Source organism: Homo sapiens, chromosome 5, assembly GCF_000001405.40.
Source record: "Homo sapiens chromosome 5, GRCh38.p14 Primary Assembly".
Taxonomy (NCBI): Eukaryota; Metazoa; Chordata; class Mammalia; order Primates; family Hominidae; genus Homo; species Homo sapiens.
In genome coordinates this window covers 77,439,134-77,457,737 of record NC_000005.10, presented here as the reverse complement: position 1 = coordinate 77,457,737, position 18,604 = coordinate 77,439,134, and the positions used below count along the sequence as shown (strand labels likewise).

At 37.0% G+C, this 18,604-nt stretch overlaps 1 protein-coding gene across 9 annotated transcripts in view, besides 1 other annotated feature; it reads left to right on the top strand.

The window, feature by feature from the left end:
- The window catches only part of WDR41 (WD repeat domain 41), a 189,645-nt gene that overhangs the window by 162,840 nt on the left and 8,201 nt on the right, over positions 1–18,604 (top strand). For 8 of the 9 annotated variants that reach the window (XM_011543505.3, XM_047417350.1, XM_047417349.1 and 5 more), the window contains 4 exons: positions 3,810–3,921; positions 6,385–6,447; positions 7,868–7,978; positions 16,741–16,925. In XM_011543505.3, coding sequence (XP_011541807.1) covers positions 3,810–3,921; positions 6,385–6,447; positions 7,868–7,978; positions 16,741–16,925 — 471 coding nt within the window. The remainder of the gene's footprint in view (positions 1–3,809; positions 3,922–6,384; positions 6,448–7,867; positions 7,979–16,740; positions 16,926–18,604) is intronic. The other variant, XM_005248551.5, reaches the window with a different exon arrangement.
- Positions 870–1,045: a silencer, noted in NCBI's record as "fragment chr5:76752518-76752693 (GRCh37/hg19 assembly coordinates)". NCBI's record gives its function as "represses an EF-1alpha promoter that drives an FKBP-Casp9 reporter gene in an ReSE screen in K562 erythroleukemia cells {active_cell/tissue: K562}" and the evidence as "EXISTENCE:reporter gene assay evidence [ECO:0000049][PMID:32094911]".

The following is an 18,604-nucleotide window of genomic DNA, read 5'->3' as shown; positions in this document are numbered from 1 at the left end:
CCTAATATGAGAAATACTATCATTTATTTTTTGAACTAACAAAATTTTTTATAAGGGTTGATGTTAGCAAGGAGATAGTGAAATTGGCATTTTATTGCATATTGAGACTATAAATTGATATGATCTTCCCGGAAGGTAGTTTGGCATTATGAATGAATCTAAATAAATTATTATATGCATTAATCCAGTGATCATTCTAGAAAACTCTTTAAAGGAAATGATCAGAAAATAGGGCAGAAATTTATGAACAGAAATGTGTACTACAAATACATTTTTATAAATGGATGATTGGAAGTGCCCTAAATGTCTTATAAGAAAATACATTATGGTAGATATATATACTAAAATTTATATTTCAGAAGAATATTAAAAGAGGAAAATGCTAGTGGTAAAATGTTAAGTAACAAAAACATATATTATCCTCAACAAAATATTATCAAACCAAATTCAGCAACATCTAAAAAGAATTATACACCATGACTAAGTGAGATTTATCCCTGGAATAAGCTTAGTTTAACATCTGAAAATTCATCAGTGAAATACACCATAGTAAGAATAAAGGACAAAAACCACAGGATCATCTCAACAGAAACAGAGAAGGCATTTGACAAACTCCAACACCCTTTCATGATAAAAATACTCAACAAACTAGGAATAGATGAGAATTTCCTCAACCTAATAAAGGGCTTCTGTGAAAATCTCAAGGCTAATTTCGTATTAATGGTGAAAGGCTAGGCTGGGTGTGGTAGTTCATGCCTGCAATCCCAGCGCTTTGGGAGACCAAGGTGGGTGGATTGCTTGAGCTCAGGAGTTCAAGACCAGCCTGAGCAACATGGTGAAACTTCTCTACAAAAAAAAAGAAAGAAGAATTAGCCAGGTCTGGTGGCACATGTCTGTAATCCCAGTTATTTGGGAGGCTGAGGTGGAAGGATCACTTGAGTCCAGGAGTTCGAGGCTGCAGTGAGTTGTAATTGTGCCACTGCACTCTAGCCTGGGCGATAGAGCAAGACCCTGTCTCAAAAAAAATAATAAAATAAAAATTTTTAAAAATGGTGAAAGACAAATAATTTCCCCCAAAGATCAGGCACAAGATAAGGATGTCTGCTGTCAGCACATCTGTTTAACATTGTACTGGAGGTTCTAGCCAGGGCAGTTGGACAATAAAAAAGATAAATGACATCCATATTGGAAAGGAAGACATAAAACTGTCTCTATTCCCAAATAACATGATCTTGTGTATATAGAAAATCCTAAGTCCACAACCAAACTATTGAGGCTAGTAAATGGATTTAGCAAGGTTTCAGGATATAATATCAACACACAGAAATCAATTGTATTTCTATTCACTAGCAATGAACATTCCAAAAATTAAGAAACAATTCCATTTACAGTTGCATCCAAAAGAATAAAATACTCAGAAATAGATTTAGTCTGGGCGGGGTGGCTTATGCCTATAATCCTAGCACTTTGGGAGGCCAAGGTGGGAGGATTGCTTGAGGTCAGGAGTTCACGACTAACCTGGCCAACATAGCAATACCCCATCACTATTAAAAGAAATTTGAAGTAGTATGAGACTTATATACCAAAAACTACAAAACATTGTTGAAAGATATTAAAGATCTATATAAATGGAAAGACATCCTGAGTGCATGGATCAGATTTACTATTGTTATGATTCCACCACTACCCACATTGATCTACAGATTGAACCCAATCTTTATCAAAATTGTAGCTGGCTTGTTTTTTTGTTGTTTTTTTTTTGAGAAATTTACAAGCTGATCCTAAAATTCATATGGGAGTGCAAGGGACCCAGAATAGCCGAAACAATCTTAAAATGGAAAAACAAAGTTCCAAGACACACTTCCCAATTTCAAAACTTAATATGAAGCTACAGTAGTCAAGACAGTGTGATATTGGCATAATGACAGACATGCAGATCAATGGAACCGAATTAAAGGCCCAGAAGTAAAGTCTCACATAGCCAACTGATTTTTTGACAAGAGCGCCAAGAACCTTTAATGGGAGAAAGAATAGTCTCTTCAAAAAATGATGCTGTGTCAATTGGACATCCACATACAAAATAATGAAATTTTATCCCTACCACATATCATATCCAAAAGTTAACTCAAAATGGGTCAAAGACCCAAATGTAAGAGCTGAAACTACAAAAATCTTGGAAGAAATATAGGCGTACATCTCTGTGACCTTGGGCTAGGTGTCTTAAATATGATATCAAAAGCATATCAACAAACAACAAAAAAAGATAAATTGGACCTCATCAGAATGAAAAGTTTTTGTGCTTCAAAGTGAAAAGACAACATACAGAATTGGAGAAAATATTTTCAAATTGTATATCTGATAAGGGACTTGTGTCTACAATATATGAAGAATTCAATAAAAAAGCAAATACTCCAATTAAAAATAGACAAGATTTGAAAGAAAGAAATTTCTCCAAAGAAGATAAACAAATAGCAAATAAGCACATGAAAAAGAGGTTCAACATCATTAGTCATTAGAGAAATGCAAGTCAAAACCACAGTGAAATACTATTTCCTACATACTAGAGTGGCTAATATCTAAAAGACAAGTGTTGGTAAGAATGTGGAGCAATTGTAACCTTCATACATTGCTGGTGGGATCTAGAATGATACAATACAGCCACCTTGGAAAACAGTTTAAACAGAATTATCATTTGACCCAGCAGTCTTACTCCTTGGTATATCCCCAAGAGATATGAAAATGTAAGTTCATATAAAAATGTGTACATGATTGTTCATAGCAACATTATTAATAATAGTCAAAAATGGAAACAATCTATATGTCCATCAGCTGATGAATAAACACAATGTATATCCACACAGTGGAATACTATTTGGCAATAAAAAGAAATGAAACACTGGCATTAAAAATTCAGAGATTAGACAGGGTAGGACCACTAGAAATATAAACTGCATTGGTTATTTTCAACTCTTTTTAATCCAACAGTTTTAAAAGCAGCCTAGGCAAGATTACCAGAACCTCTGCCTTTTATTTTCTGTTCTTCTCTCTCGCTCTTGCCCTTGTCTGACTCAGAGTCAGTGGGCGAGGAGAGTACTATTAAAGGTAAAGGGCTTATATGGTACTTGAAACACTCACTTTCCTGACTACCAAATGTATAGAATTGAGAAGACTTGGGCATTATTTATTCTAAAGATACAGAGAAACTAAGGTCATAGTTTCAATTTGATTTAAAAAGGGGTTTAAGCAATTGTGTATTAGTAATTTATTACTGAGTAACAAATTACCTCAAAACTTAGTGGCTTAAAACAATAAACATTTGTCATCTCACAGTGTTTGTGATTAGGACTAGAGAGCATCTTATCTGGGTGGTTCTGGCTCAGGGCCTCTCCTGAGGCTCCTGCTATCTGAAGGCCTGACTGCGGTGGAGGAGCTGCCTCCCAGGAGGCTCACCTACGTGCTTGGCAAGTTAGTGCTGTTTGTTGCCCAGAAGCCTCAGCTCTTTGCTACATGGACCTTTCTCCATGTGACTGCTTTAGTGTCTTCACCTTAGAGCACGTGATCCAAGAGAGAACAAGGAGGAGGCCACAGTATCTTTTATGACTTAGTCTTGTAAGTCACACACCATTCCTCTTGCCAGAATCTGTTTGGTAGAAGCTAGTCACTTAGTAGTGCCCACATGATCTACTAAGGAGAAATAAGCTCCACCTAGTGAAGGAAGGGGTTAAAGAACTTGTGGATATATTTTTAAACCACTGAACAATGACTGCTTAAGTTTCTAACCTGATATACATTTCAAATAAATTTTGCAGTGTTTAACTGTTCTTCAGAGACTAGATGTTTGGCTTTCTGGTGGGAATGACCTGTGTGTGTGGAACCGAAAATTAGATCTCCTGTGTAAGACTAGCCACCTTTCTGATACAGGTAAAAAACATCAAGGTAATTTTGAACTATGATTGACAGACTAGAAGACACAGCAGATCTTCAGAGAGACTTTCCATAAGTAGAAAGGTCAATATAGGGGATTTTTCTTTTTCAGTTCTGAAGATAACAGGTAGCCATATTCAATTCAGATCGGGGTTGTGTAAAATATATTTTTATCCTGAATCAGGAGGAGAAGACTCCACTCAGGAACAACCTTTTCCAATGCTCTTGGGCTGTTTTCCTGAACTGTGTTTGGTGAGCACGCTGATACCTAGAAGCAGACCCTTACGACTTTACAGTAGCATTTGTGGGGTCATTAACTTTGAATAAATGCCTAAGGATGACCTCTTTTTACAATTGTCCTTACCAAAAAGATCATACATGTGCAAGCTTACTGATAAAGTTTCATTTTCTCACAATTCTGTGTACATACGATTTTGGTTTCAACAGAAAAAAAATAATCAAATCAGTTTTGACTTTTTGATACCAAGGATCTTAAAAAATAAAATCTATTTTTAGAGTAAAATATTTAAATGAGTAGATTTTAATAACAACCTTGAAGTCACACTAACTATTGTTATTTCTAAAAATAATCAAATGAGCCTGGGTATCCTAGAAGGAACATTGTTGTGCATGTTGTTGATATTTCAGTGGTAGCAGGAGCCCTGTGAATTGAATTTAGTTACTAATAGGAGCTAGCTTAGCTCCACGTAGATATTTTAAAGTATCAGAAACATAATGACTTAGGAAAACTAAATCCATACATTGCTAGGGTTTACAATTTAACCACTCAGTTCAACATTTGATTACTAATAGTCTTGCTCAAATCTAGAATATATTTCCCTGTTTACTATTATCATGAATTATGTGTCTTTATGTTCATTTTTCTCTCTCTTTCACTAGCCTGTGGTTTTCATGAATTTTATTTTGGTAAAGTTATATTGTAAAATGTTGAAATTGGGGCTGAAAAGAATCTTCTGTGTGTTCCTGGAAATAGCCACCTCTTATTGCAGTCTCCCTTTGTTTTGCAAGTTATGTTTAAGTACTATATATTAAATCATTACAATACTGCCATTTATCAGTGTCTCAAGAGTTAACAGAAGGCTTTGAGGGTATCTATGGGAAAGCCTTGAGAAGGCCATGGGTTACTATTGGTGAGCTGTTCATCATTTGGGTTTTCCAAATTACTGGAGGCCAGATTGTTAATAGTGTTATTAGATCCTTATGTCATGATGTCCTTTCATAAGCCCTGCTTGATTTATGGACTGGTGGAGCTTTTACAAGCAGTTATTCTGTGTTTGGAAATAAGCAAAGACAATCTTAGTCAATGTGATACAATGGAAGGAGCCCTGGACTAAAACACAGGGCATCCGTGTCCTTTCCAGTAATATGTTTTGTGATTCTGAGTATTAGGTTGCTACATCTGGATTGTTGGGCTTCTAGTATTTTCACATATAATTTAGTGAAAGATTTTTAAACAAGCTGTTTTCTGCATTTAGAATTCTTCTCTTGCTATCCACCCTGCTGTTCTCCCATGTCCTCTGCCTTCTCTGTACCATTCCTTTGCCTTCCTTGCAGCACCATTTCCTCCTTCTTGTACATGGGAAAATACAAAACCTACTGTTAAAATATGCCTATGTGGAGAAAAATCTTGGCCAGAAATACTATCCAAATCACAACAGTCAGTCCTTTGATGGATGGGAAGGATAAGCAAATGACTAGACCGTTTTCTACACTTGCATATATATTATAAATTACATATATATCATAATGGAAAAATTAAACAGGTTTTTTTTTTTGCCAACACGTGGTGGTTCTAATTTATCAACTCTTTTATTCATACTGACAGAAGCAAAATTGTAACATGCCTTGTAGAAGTTATAGTTACGCTAAAATCATTAACCTCTTTACTTAAATAAGTGAAGTGTGTTAGAATGTTGAATCTGATTCTTTCATTAATAGAAGAAAAATTTTACATGTATTAGTGGATCACAAACATGCTATTTGAAGGCTGCTTTCTTAGCTGCTGACTGTTGGCTAGTTCATTCAATGCCAGGGAGCCTGCTCAGGCTTCTAAAGTTTACATGAAGGAAAACCCCAATTTTACATCACTTTTGAGCTAGCCATCTTGTAAATGGGTGATGGTGATTATCTTAAGGGATCCCTGGTAAATAAGTGTGAATTGCTGAATCTACCACTTTATCACAATAGTAAAAAAAAGTACAAAAAAACCCAACCCCATATTCTGCTCTTAATAAATCAATAATGTCTTCCAAAAGTCTCAGAAACCTACATTTAACAATCATTTTCCATTAGTAAGCAAGCAAGGAAGTGTGTGTGGAGCTAGTTCTGTGTGCTTTATCTTCTTTATGGAAAACGACTGACATAAAACTGAGAATGTTTTTGTTTTTGATATAATCTGTGAGAAAAATAATTTGAACTTTGTTTTATATGTTTTTGGAGGTATTAGTGCTTTGGTTGAAATACCTAAGAACTGTGTTGTGGCAGCAGTTGGCAAAGAACTGAGTGAGTATGAATTTTTTTCTTTTTGTGTATTTTGAACGAGAATTGTATACACATGCTGGAAGGACTAAAGTAATTTTTTATTTAAGGGACATTGCGTGTGCCCCACTCTTGGCTTCTTGGGATTGTTGAAGTGATACAGAGACTAAGACATTTTCAGGATGTTAGGCCAGGTTTCTTTTTCTTATCAGTGTTTTAATCAGTATGTTAGCTTGGTTAAACAGTTTATTGCTTGTTATTCCAAAATTCCAGTCTCAAGATCACTTCATAATATTCCAACTAAAGTAGAATTTCCCATAAGTTCAATGTGTATCAGAAAGAGTTCTCTTTTCTATTGACTGAAAAACCTTCTTTTGACAACCACAGTTTGAATATGAGTAGCTGTCAGGATTAAATAACCTGGATAGAGATTTGTAGTTTGGTAAAATATTGTCAGAGACACAGAAAGAAGCATGGCATGACCTATCTTCTAGAGAGAAATGTGAGAAAGAAAAGATACTTTCGTAATTTGAAAAGGACATGATCTCAGAGACTTGTCACTTCTCAGATGTTAGTGATGCTAATCTTTGAGCATCCACAGCACCTGGTCCAGTGGTGTATTTTTAAAACACTCAGTACATTGACGGTAAGCCTGTTTATAAACAAGTCTCTCTCCCACTCTAGACTGAGCATTTGTGACTGGGCCTTATTCACATTTGGTACGTAGAGTTCCTGGAACATAAATGTTTAGTAAATGATGATAGAATCACGTCTGTGGATTTTATTATGGGTTTTCTGTATTGATTAAAGTTAGGATTTATACTAGTTTAAATAAAACTGTATTTGTTAAAGTCAGATAATGAGTAAAGCAACACATTGAACATTACTATAGTCAGAAGAACTGTATGATATATAAACATTATAAGACATACTCAGAGAATTTATAATTTAATGGTATATGCCTAGGAATCAGAAGCTTTTTAAAAAAGAAGTTGCTTATGTCTTCACTGAGTTGAAGTTAAACTTGGATTTGCAGCTTATTCTGTCGCAATGCTTACATGAGTAAGAGACATGAGTAGAGAAAGCTGATGTTGGAGGTGATTGAGGGATGTGGGCTAGTCACTGATTAGGGAGGGAGTGAGTTGAGATAACAAGACATCCGTTGAAACCCTAGAGAGAATGGGAGCTTCACTGTTTGGAAAAGTCAGTAAAGGAAGAGAGTTCTTCAGGACACATTCAGTATGGGTTTTAGTAGATCATCTCAAACATCTCAAGCATTTGAAAGAAATAGTTTAAAGTAGTATGAATAAGGCTTTTTTTTGGAGATGGGTTTTTCAGTATGGTAGGTATTTTTCACTTAATGAAATGCTTGTTTTTAGAGCAGGAGTAGTATTTTATCCTCTTAGAGCATTGTAATAAAATTTTATCTGTCTTTTTCATTTAGTAATTTTCAGGTTGGTAGCACCCACAGAAGGATCACTAGAATGGGATATTCTTGAAGTTAAGCGCCTCCTTGATCACCAGGATAATATTCTCTCATTGATTAATGTCAATGGTAAGCTCATTGTGTACATTTATTATGTACAGTTTTGTGCTTGTTAACACAACCTGCTCTGAACACGAGCCTTGCTTAGTTCTGGGATTCTAGAATAAGTCACTAAAATAATGGGATTGTCATTCTCTTTTACTCTGAAGTTTTAGCCGGTGGAGCTGAGCAAGTTTCCTAGATTGCTAGGTCTAAGATTTAGGGACAAGGAAAATAGTGTAAGGCAGAGAAAATAGAGGAGAACATAATGATCTCAGGCACTGCTTGGTAGCTGTGGGATGACTGTCACAGGCTGTTTCAGCATTTTTGGCAGCTGTTTCTGGCTAGTTCCTCTTTTGTAGAGAGATTGGAAATATGCCCTTTTGTCTTGCTGTCCACACCATACAATATCACATAGCAAGTTACACACTTACACTAGAATGAGCAGGATTCAAGCCAGTTGTAATCCTGGTTGAAGACTCTCAAAGAATAATACCAAACTAAAGTAAAAGTCTGCAGAAAATGGGTCATGTCTTCCCTTCCTTCCTCGTGGTGGGGGTTTTGACCTGCTGTACATCCTATTTGGCTTCCTAAATGATTTTAATGAGTATCTCCTGTGAGCTAAATCTGACATCAGATGGCAAGATCACAAACCACTGATCTTGACATTCAGTTCACTTGCAGATAAGTGACAGCTTATATCATCAGAACTGTGCTGGGTGATCTGTGTATGAAGTCACATGAGAGGGCTTTTGGTGGCTTCAGTTTGATAGTCTGGTGGAGCCTGCAGGACGATCCTGTAAGGCTGCTTGGGAGTATGATGTAGTGGGAGGGCTAGACAGCACCCCAGCAACATATCTCCCTGAGGCCTGGCTTGGCTTTGTTTTTTTTGTTTGTGTTTGTTTGTTTGTTTGTTTGTTTTGAGATGGAGTCTCCCTGTGTTGCCCAGGCTGGAGTTCAGTGGCATGGTCTCGACTCACTGCAACCTCTGCCCCCCGGGTTCAAGCGATTCTTCTGCCTCAGCCTCCCAAATAGCTGGAACTACAGGCGCATATCACCATGCCCAGCTAATTTTTGTATTTTTAGTAGAGACGGGGTTTCTCCATATTGGCCAGGCTGGTCTCGAACTCCTGACCTCATGATCCACCTGCCTCAGCCTCCCACAGTGCTGAGATTACAGGCATGAGCCACCAAGCCCGGCCGGCTTTGTTTTTAAGCAGTATTTTGCGTGAATGTGAGACAAAGGGGAGCGAGGGACACAGAGAGTACCAAGTCTAGTCTCCATTTGTGTCCATTCAGTCACATGTTCAGATACACCAGTAAGAGTGTCCCTCCCAGCTCCAAAATCTTCCTCCCAAATAGCCATCTTATTGTAAAACTCAGCTGCAGGTCTTTCTAAGGACTAGATTGTCTGTGTTGATAGAAATAACAATGGTTGCTGGTGTCCCTTTAATTTTCTCTGGGGGCTCTTTTTCTCTAGCCATGGATGGAGACAGCACAGAAGGCAAGTTCTTATTTGGGAAGCCCTCTGAAGCCTCATTGGTGACACTGAGTCTTAAGTCTCAAGTTCCCAGGGCTGCTGAGAAAAGCCCAGCAGTATTCGGCCCATTACACCGGTCATGCTTAGTTATTTTGTTTTAGCAGTGAAGCACTGGCACCACTGAGCCAGCATGGTTACTTAAATGAAGATGATAGGATGATACAAGATAGCCTGAACTTCATGGCATGTCTTTTACCATGTGATATGCAGAGGAACTTACAGCAGTTTCTGAAAGCTTTCTTCGAGTATTCATTTGCCAAATTCGTAAGGGGAAAAAAGGGAAAACTAAAGAAAAAAGTTGTTTATGAAAGTTACAGAAAGCCTCATGCACTTTTTACTGTTTTTTACTATCTTTTTAAAAAATTTCTTCTAAAAAAATGGGATACATGTGCAGAATGTGCAGGTTTGTTACATAGGTATACGTGTGCCATGATGGTTTGCTGCACCTATCAACCTGTCCTCTCAGTTTCCTCCCCTTCCCCACAACAGGTGCTGGTGTGTGTTGTTCCCCTCTCTGTGTCCATATGTTCTCATTGTTCAGTTTCCAGTTAGAGTGAGAATATGCGGCATTTGATTTTCTGTTCCTGTGTTAGTTTGCTGAGAATGATGGCTTCCAGCTTCATGACTATGTCCCTGCAAAGGACATGATCTCATTCCTTTTTATGGCTGCATAGTATTCCATGGTGTATATGTGCCACATTTTCTTTATCCAATCTATCGTTGATGGGCATTTGGATTGGTTCCATATCTTTGTTCTTGTAAATAGTGATGTAGTAAACATACATGTGCATGTGTCTTTGTAGTAGAATGATTGATATCCTTTGGGTGTATTCCCAAAGTAATGGGATTGCTGGGTCAAATGGTATTTCTGGTTCTAGATCCTTGAGGAATCGCCATACTGTCTTCCACAATGGTTGAACTAATTTACACTCCCACCAACAGTGTAAAAATGTTCTTCCCATTCTCCACAGCCTTGTCAGCATCTATGGTTTCCTGACTTTTTAATAATTGCCATTCTGACTGGTGTGAGATGGTATCTCATTGTGATTCTGATTTGCATTTCTCTAATGATCAGTGATGTTGAGCTTTTTTTCATATGTTTTTTGGCCACATAAATGTCTTGAGAAGTGCCTGTTCATATTTTGCCCACTTTTTGATGGGGTTGTTTTTTTCTTGTAAATTTAAGTTCCTTGTAAATTCTGGATATTAGACCGACCTTTGTCAGATGGGTAGATTGCAAAAATTTTCTCCCATTTTGTAGGTTGCCTTTTCACTCTGATGGTAGTTTCTTTTGCTGTGCAGAAGCTCTTTAGTTTCATTAGTTCCCATTTGTCAGCTTTGGCTTTTGTTGCAGTTGCTTTTGGCATCTTTGTCATGAAGTCTTTGCCCATGCCTGTGTTCTGAATGGTATTGCCTAGGTTTTCTTCTAGGGTTTTTATGGTTTTAGGTCTTATTAAGTCTTTAATTCATCTTGAGTTAATTTTTGTATAAGGTGTAAGGAAGGGGTCCAGTGTCTGTTTTCTGCATATGGCTAGCCAGTTTTCTTAGCACCATTTACTGAATAGGAGATCCTTTCCCCATTGCTTGTTTTTGTCAGGTTTGTTGAAGATCAGATGGCTGTAGATGTGTGGTGTTATTTCTGAGGTGTCTATTCTGCTCCATTGGTCTATATGTCTGTTTTGGTACCAATTCCATGTTGTTTTGGTTACTGTAGCCTTGTAATATAGTTTGCAGTCAGGTAATGTGATGTCTCCAGCTTTGTTCTTTTTGCTTAGGATTGTCTTGGCTATACGGGGTCTTCTTTGATTCTATATGAAATTTAAAATAGTTTTTTTTCTAATTCTTTGAAGGATGTCAATAGTAGTTTGATGGGAATAGCATTGAATCTGTAAATTACTTTAGGCAATATGGCCATTTTCATGATATTGATTCTTCCTATCTATGAGGATGAAATGTTTTTCCATTTATATGTGTCCTCCCATTTCCTTGAGCAGTGGTTTGTAGTTCTCTTTGAAGAGGTCCTTCACATCCCTTGTTAGCTGTATTCCTAGGTACTTTATTCTCTTTGTAGCGATTGTGAATGGGAGTTCATTCATGATTTTGCTCTCTGCTTGTCTATTGTTGGTGTAAAGGAATTCTTGTGATTTTTGTACATTGACTTTGTATCCTGAGACTTTATTGAAGTTGCTTATCAGTTTAAGGAGTTTTTTGGGCTGAGATGATGGGGTTTTCTAAATATACAATCATGTCATCTGCAAACAGAGACAATTTGACTTCCTCTCTTCCTATTTGAATACCCTTTATTTCTTTCTCTTTCCTGATTGCCCTGGACAGAACTTCCAACACTATGTTGAATAGGAGTGGTGAGAGAGGGCATCCTTGTTCTGTACCAGGTTTCAAAGGGAATGCTTCCAGCTTTTGCCCATTCATATGATATTGGCTGTGGGTTTCTTATAAATAGCTCTTATTATTTTGAGATATGTTCTATCAATACCTAGTTTATTGAGAATTTTTAATATGAAAGGATGTTAAATTTTATCGAAGGCCTTTTCTGCATCTATTAAGATAATCATGTGGTTTTTGTCATTGGTTCTGTTTGTGTGATGGATTACGTTTATTGATTTGCATATGTTGAATCAGCCTTGCATCCCAGGGATGAAGCCCACTTGATCATGGTGGATAAGCTTTTTGATGTGCTGCTGGATTTGGTTTGCCAGTATTTTATTGAGGATTTTCGCATCGATGTTCATAAGGGATATTGGCCTGAAGTTTTCTTTTTTTTGTTGTGTCTCTTCCTGGTTTTGGTGTCAGGATGATGCTGGCTTCATAAAATGAATTAGGAAGTCCCTCTTTCAGTTGTTCGGAATAGTTTCACAAGGAATGGTACCAGCTCCTCTTTGTACCTCTGGTAGAATTCAGCTGTGAATCCATCTGGTCCTGGGCTTTTTTTGGTTGGTAGGCTATTAATTACTGCCTCAATTTCAGAACTTGTTATTGGTCTATTCAGGGATTCGACTTCTTACTGGTTTAGTCTTGGGAGGGTGTATGTGTCCAGGAATTTATTCATTTCTTCTAGATTTTCTAGTTTGTGTAGAGGTGTTTATAGTATTATCTGATGGTAGTTTGTATTTCTGTGGGATCAGTGGTGCTGTCCCCTTTATCATCTTTTATTGTGTCTATTTGATTCTTCTCTCTTTTCGTCTTTATAAGTCTAGCTAGTGGTCTATTTTAATTTTTTCAAAAAACCAGCTTCTGGATTCATTGATTTTTTTGGAGAGTTTTTCTTGTCTCTGTCTCCTTCAATTCTTCTCTGATCTTAGTTATTTCTTGTCTTCTTCTAGCTTTTGGATTAGTACTTTTTACTTTATAAACTCTATGACTATAAAATTATACTACAGATAATAAATAAGCCAAAGGCGTATTTAGGAATCAAACATGACCAAGTAGTCTGTTAAAATTTGAAAATGATCTGCTGACAGTCTCATCTTGCAGTACATAGGCACGTTAGCCATGATGTGGATGTCAGTGATCCTGAAATGTTTATGTTGTACAGTTCCCTGCTTCACTTGCAGGAGCTCTGCTCCTTTCTCCTCACCCATTACCAATGAAAGATATGGCCAGTTGCTTGGGATTGTACATCACAGGGCAAATCTGTTTTCAGAGGGGTGGCCCCAGGGCAACCTTAGAATTGTATGAGAGAATACCAACAAGTGTGGATAATGAATACCAGATTTGCTAAAAAGATTGGAATGCCCAGGCAGAAGGTTTTCTAAGACAGACAAAAAATAACTGATAATCTCTCCAGGCAGAAGGCTCTGGGTGCTCCTTTATTTTATTCCTTTTCTTGTATTATGTTGCCAGCATCTTTTGGTAATCATGAAGTACTAGTACTTGTGAGGGATGGATAGACAGATACCAGGTGAGATTTTCATACTAAGTGGCTTTTGACACAGGATGAAAATCCATCCACTAATAATATATAATTGAGGTTGTTTGTCATGAAACATTTTGAATGACCTGTTTGGGAATTAGTTTGCCATGTGTAAACTGCTTAAAAATATGTGCTGATTGGCCAGGTGCAGTGACTCACGCCTGTAATCCCAGCACTTTGGGAGCTTGAGGTGGGTGGATCACCTGAGGTCAGGAGTTTGAGACCAGCCTGGCCAACATGGCGAAACCCGTCACTACTAAAAATACAAAAATTAGCCAGGTGTGGTGTCACATGCCTGTAGTCCCAGCTACACAGGAGGCTGAGACAGGAATTGCTTGAACTTGGGAGGTGGAGGTTACAGGGAGCCAAGATTGTGTTACTGTACTCCAGCCTGGGTGACAGAGTGAGACTTCATTTCAAAAAAAAAAAAAAAAAAAAAAAAGTGCTGATTGAGCTGAATGCCGTATTTTATTTTTAGGGAAAATTCCAACTGGTCATTAATATTTTGTTTCTACTGCATGGAGGTATCACAGACACTTGGAGGATTAAGTCAGAGCAAGCAGCTGCATGGTCTCAGTAGGTTAATTCTGTGTTGTGACTACAGATGCAGAGTGAGAGTCAAGGGGAATCTTCACTCCTTAGCTTCTCTGGTTCTTTTGTAGTTTGAATGAAATAGGAAAAAGGAGGGAAAGGTGTGGGAAAGAAGGTCCTGGGAAGATGAGTACTGCCTTAACTTTCCCACTACTAAAACTAGAAGCCCGTTTTGCTCCACAGATGAGAAGTGATTTCTCCACAGAGCAAGTTCTATAGAGTCTGTTAATAAACTATAGAAATTAGATATTAATAATCTACCTATTATGGCCTTGGAGTCAAGACAAATAATATTTACATGTAGGATTGCTGGTAATTCTGTATCTCTTAAGAGATTGTTCATGTGGTCATTAGAGATTTCTGTCGTGCTGGTTTATTTGATAAATGAAATAATTAAATCATAATTACTCATCTGTATATTCCTAAATTAACAAGTAACAGGATGTTTTAATACGATTAATGTGGAATAATACCAGGGGCTCAAAATACTACCAGGGGCGCAAAGATAATATTTGATGTCTTTTTAAAATGGCTACACGTTTATTATTCAATTTGATTTTTAGTCACTCATTTAATGCATGAAGAATCCAAGATAAAGGTTAAACTACTTCCTAAAGACCACCTGTCTAGCAACAGGCAGAGCCAAAATCAGAACTTGGGTTTCTAGACTAAGTGCATTATAGTCTTCTGTCTTACCCTAAATATGTAATAATTTAAATAAATTACATTTATTTGAAATAAGACTAGCAGTTGTACATTTTCTATTAAATATATAGTGTGTAAAATAAATAATATGTAAAATGGAAAAAAATCCTTTTTTTTTTTTTTTTTTTGGGGAGACAGAGTCTCGCTCTGTCGCCCAGGCTGGAGGGCAGTGGCGCGATCTCGGCTTACTGCAAGCTCCGCCTCCCGGGTTCACGTCATTCTCCTGCCTCAGCCTCCCGAGTAGCTGGGACTACAGGCGCCCACCACCACGCCCACCTAATTTTTTGTATTTTTAGTGGAGACAGGGTTTCACCGTTTTAGCCAGGATGGTCTCGATCTCCAGACCTCGTGATCCACCTGCCTCGGCCTCCCAAAGTGCTGGGATTACAGGTGTGAGCCACCGCACCCGGCTTTTTTTAAAGGTTTTAAAAACTTGTAAAAGTTATACATAGTCATAGTAGAAAAATATGAAAATAGTGAAAAACATTAAAAATATAAAAGTTAATATTAAAATCTTTCCACTATCCAGTATTAAACACCAGTCCACATCTTTCTAGGTGATTTTCTGGGCCTATGTATGTGTGTACATGTGTATTAATATGGTTTACTGTTTTGTAACAATATGTCATAAATATATTTCCATATCTAAGTTTATATTGTTAAGCATACTTTTATAACTTAATTTTTAATAACAGCATTACTATTTCATTTTGTTGATGTCTTATTCAATTCTCAATTCGATGTGTAGTTATCTTCAGATTTTTAAGATTGTGTATTTGTACATATATGTATGTAACAACCTTGTACATTTATGTATTTCCTTCAGGATAAATTCCTAGAAGTGGAATTGTTGGATCGAGATTTACATTTTTCAAGGTTTTGATACATATTAGCAAATTAATCTTTGAAAAAAATACTAATGTATAGTAGGGCATTAGGCAATACAGGAATGTGCTGATTTCTTATGCTTTTGCCAGTACTGTGTTGGGTATTTTCCTGTTTTATATTTCCTGATTCACAAGTCAATAAATGGTATCTCCTTGTTTTTAGATTTCTTTGATTATTAAAGGAGTTGAACATCTTTTCACGTTTACTGACCATTTGTATTTGTTTTGCCTTTTCAGGTCCTTTTCCCATTTTTTTTTCTGCTGTATTTATCTTGTTCTTAATAATTTCCAAGAACTCCTTATGTATCAAGTATAATAAACCTGTTTTGTCATCCAAGTTGCAAATTTTTCCCAGCTTTTTGTCATTTCAGTGTATTTGTGTGTGTGTGTGTGTGTTTTAGACTGAGTCTCGCTCTATTGCCCAGGCTGGAGTGCAGTGGCGCGATCTCAGCTCACTGCGACCTCTGCGTCCCAGGTTCAAGCAGTTCTCCTGTCTCAACCTCCCAAGTAGCTGGGACTAAGGTGCACACCACCATGCCCGGCTAATTTTTGTATTTTTAGTAGAGATGGGGTTTCACCATATTGGTCAGGCTGGTCTCGAACTCCTGACCTCAGGTGATCCACCTGCCTCGGCTTCCCAAAGTGCTGGGATTACCTCGCCCGGTCCTTGTTTTTGTTTTGCCAAGCAGCTACTTACTAGGATCTCTTCCCCTGGCACCCCACTCTGCTTCCGTTAGAGCCCTTTACCACTCCACATTCCTAAAAGTATTCACCTTTATCTTCTTCCATCCTTTAACTAACTTTCATGTTTTAATCTATTTGAAACTTATTTTGGTGTATGGTACAAGATAAGGTTCTTTTACTTTTATTCCCCTTAAATGTAACCAGATATTCCAGCATGAGGTATTTCTTTACTGAAATGAAATGCAATCATTATTACATACTAAATTACTAAGATAATTTGAGTCTATTTCTGGCCTTCTTATTCTGTTACATTAATCTTTCTGTTGGCTTGCCTAGGTACCTCACTGTTCTAATTACTGTGGTTTTATACGGCATTACTACTAGACATTCCATTCAGTTATATCTTTACATAGATAAAATGATCGATAATGAGGCATATGTGAACTTTGCCTAGATTTGAGTTTTGTCACCGGCTCCCACGTCGGAGAGCTGATCATCTGGGATGCCCTGGACTGGACCATGCAGGCCTATGAACGCAACTTCTGGGACCCATCTCCACAACTGGACACCCAACAAGAAATAAAACTCTGTCAAAAATCAAATGACATTTCTATTCATCATTTCACATGTGATGAAGAGGTAAAAAATGTATACACTATCTATAAACTTGCCTTTGACATATATAACCCAATTTCTGATTTTAAAAATTTAATCCCATGTTGGACATAAAAAAGGTATCATTCATGGTTTCAGGTTGTGCTTTAAAATGGTCTTTTTCTAAAATTGGATGATTTGTGTTAAGCATTTTAATCTTTGCTTCTAATCTCGAGGCAAGGAAATGATTAAATGGCCACAGATTTAAAAATTATTGAAATTTTGGGTTGGATTAAATAATCCCATTGGATTTGAGGTTAATGCTTAAAATTGTTTTAAGAAACACTGTGAAAAAGAGTTCTTTTGAAGATCTGACACATTTCCTAGTGAGGCAAAGAAAATTAAAAATTTTAGGAGTGTTTCTCAGTCTGCTGGCATCTTGGGGCAAGATAAATTGAGTGAGAATTGTTGGATTCCATCTTATAGGACTTGGGAGTGATGCTCTTGAAGCACTTTAGATCTGTTTTGCTGTGAGAGATTAGTACCAATGGACTACTGAATCTTATCTCTGATCTGAAAAAACAAATCTCTTAGCATCAGGGGCTCAGAAAATGTTTTTAAAGGGCAATTAACTTTTCTAAATGTAATCACAAGAAATGTTTATGAATTGTACCCTTCGAGGAGAAGGAGTTGGGGAGGCTTTTCTCTATTTTGTGACTTTCTATACTGTTTAATTTTTCTAACGGCATGCACGTTATTTTTATTAAAAATTTCAGTAGTAGTGTTATGTAGTGGGGGGAGAATATGATCCATTTTTCTTTGTACCACTCTTTAAAAACAAAACAAAAGATTAGGATAGGAACAGGACTTAGAAACACTAATATATTCAAAGATTGTTTCTTTGTATCCCAACTTTATTTTGAAAAAAGTTAAATATACATGATAAAGACAGTATGGTTTCAGAAAAGATAGAGACTAGATCACTAAGAGTTGTAGCCCTACAAATTATCTATTTTAAATGTTACATGTTTTTTCTCACTTTTGTGAAAATTAATATTTAAAAGTTTTGTATTTTAATCTTAAATTTTTTAATTGATGTTTATTTTCTACTATATATGCTTGATAAAGCATTGTATAGTTTTCCCTAATTTTTCTTCTTTTGTTGTGAGTTCTTTCCTTCTATAAGGGACCGTTAGTTATTGATAGCGGGGATAGCATCCCCATTGAGTAAATGCTGCCTCCAAAGCTCATGAATTCTCTAGTTGTGTTTATAATTTTCTTCCTGACCTTGGATAAATTACTTAAACTGTGCCCAGATTTCCTGGTCTATAGAATGAGTTTCGGGGGATTTTGGCATTGAATACAATCCACAGGGCTTTCCATTTTAGTACATTGGCTAGCAGTGTTCATTAATGCCCTGGCATTGGGCCTCGGCTGCATTGCTGATTGCAGAGTACTAATCCTGAGAGTCAAGGGGATCATTCAAGATTTAAGATTCCAGCAAGCCTTGGGGGCATGCTTTGGTTCAGTTACTATAGGTCTGAGTTGAGTTTGTAGTCTTGGAGGCTGTGTGAGAAAGGTTGGAGAGCCCAGAATCTCTGGTGAAAACAAGAAGGCAATATGTAGGGATATTTGAAAGGTCTGCCTCATGGGGATATCTATTGAGTAAGAATGGATGATTCTAGGACAGGTGCTTGCAAAAATTTCAAAGGCTACTACTGCAT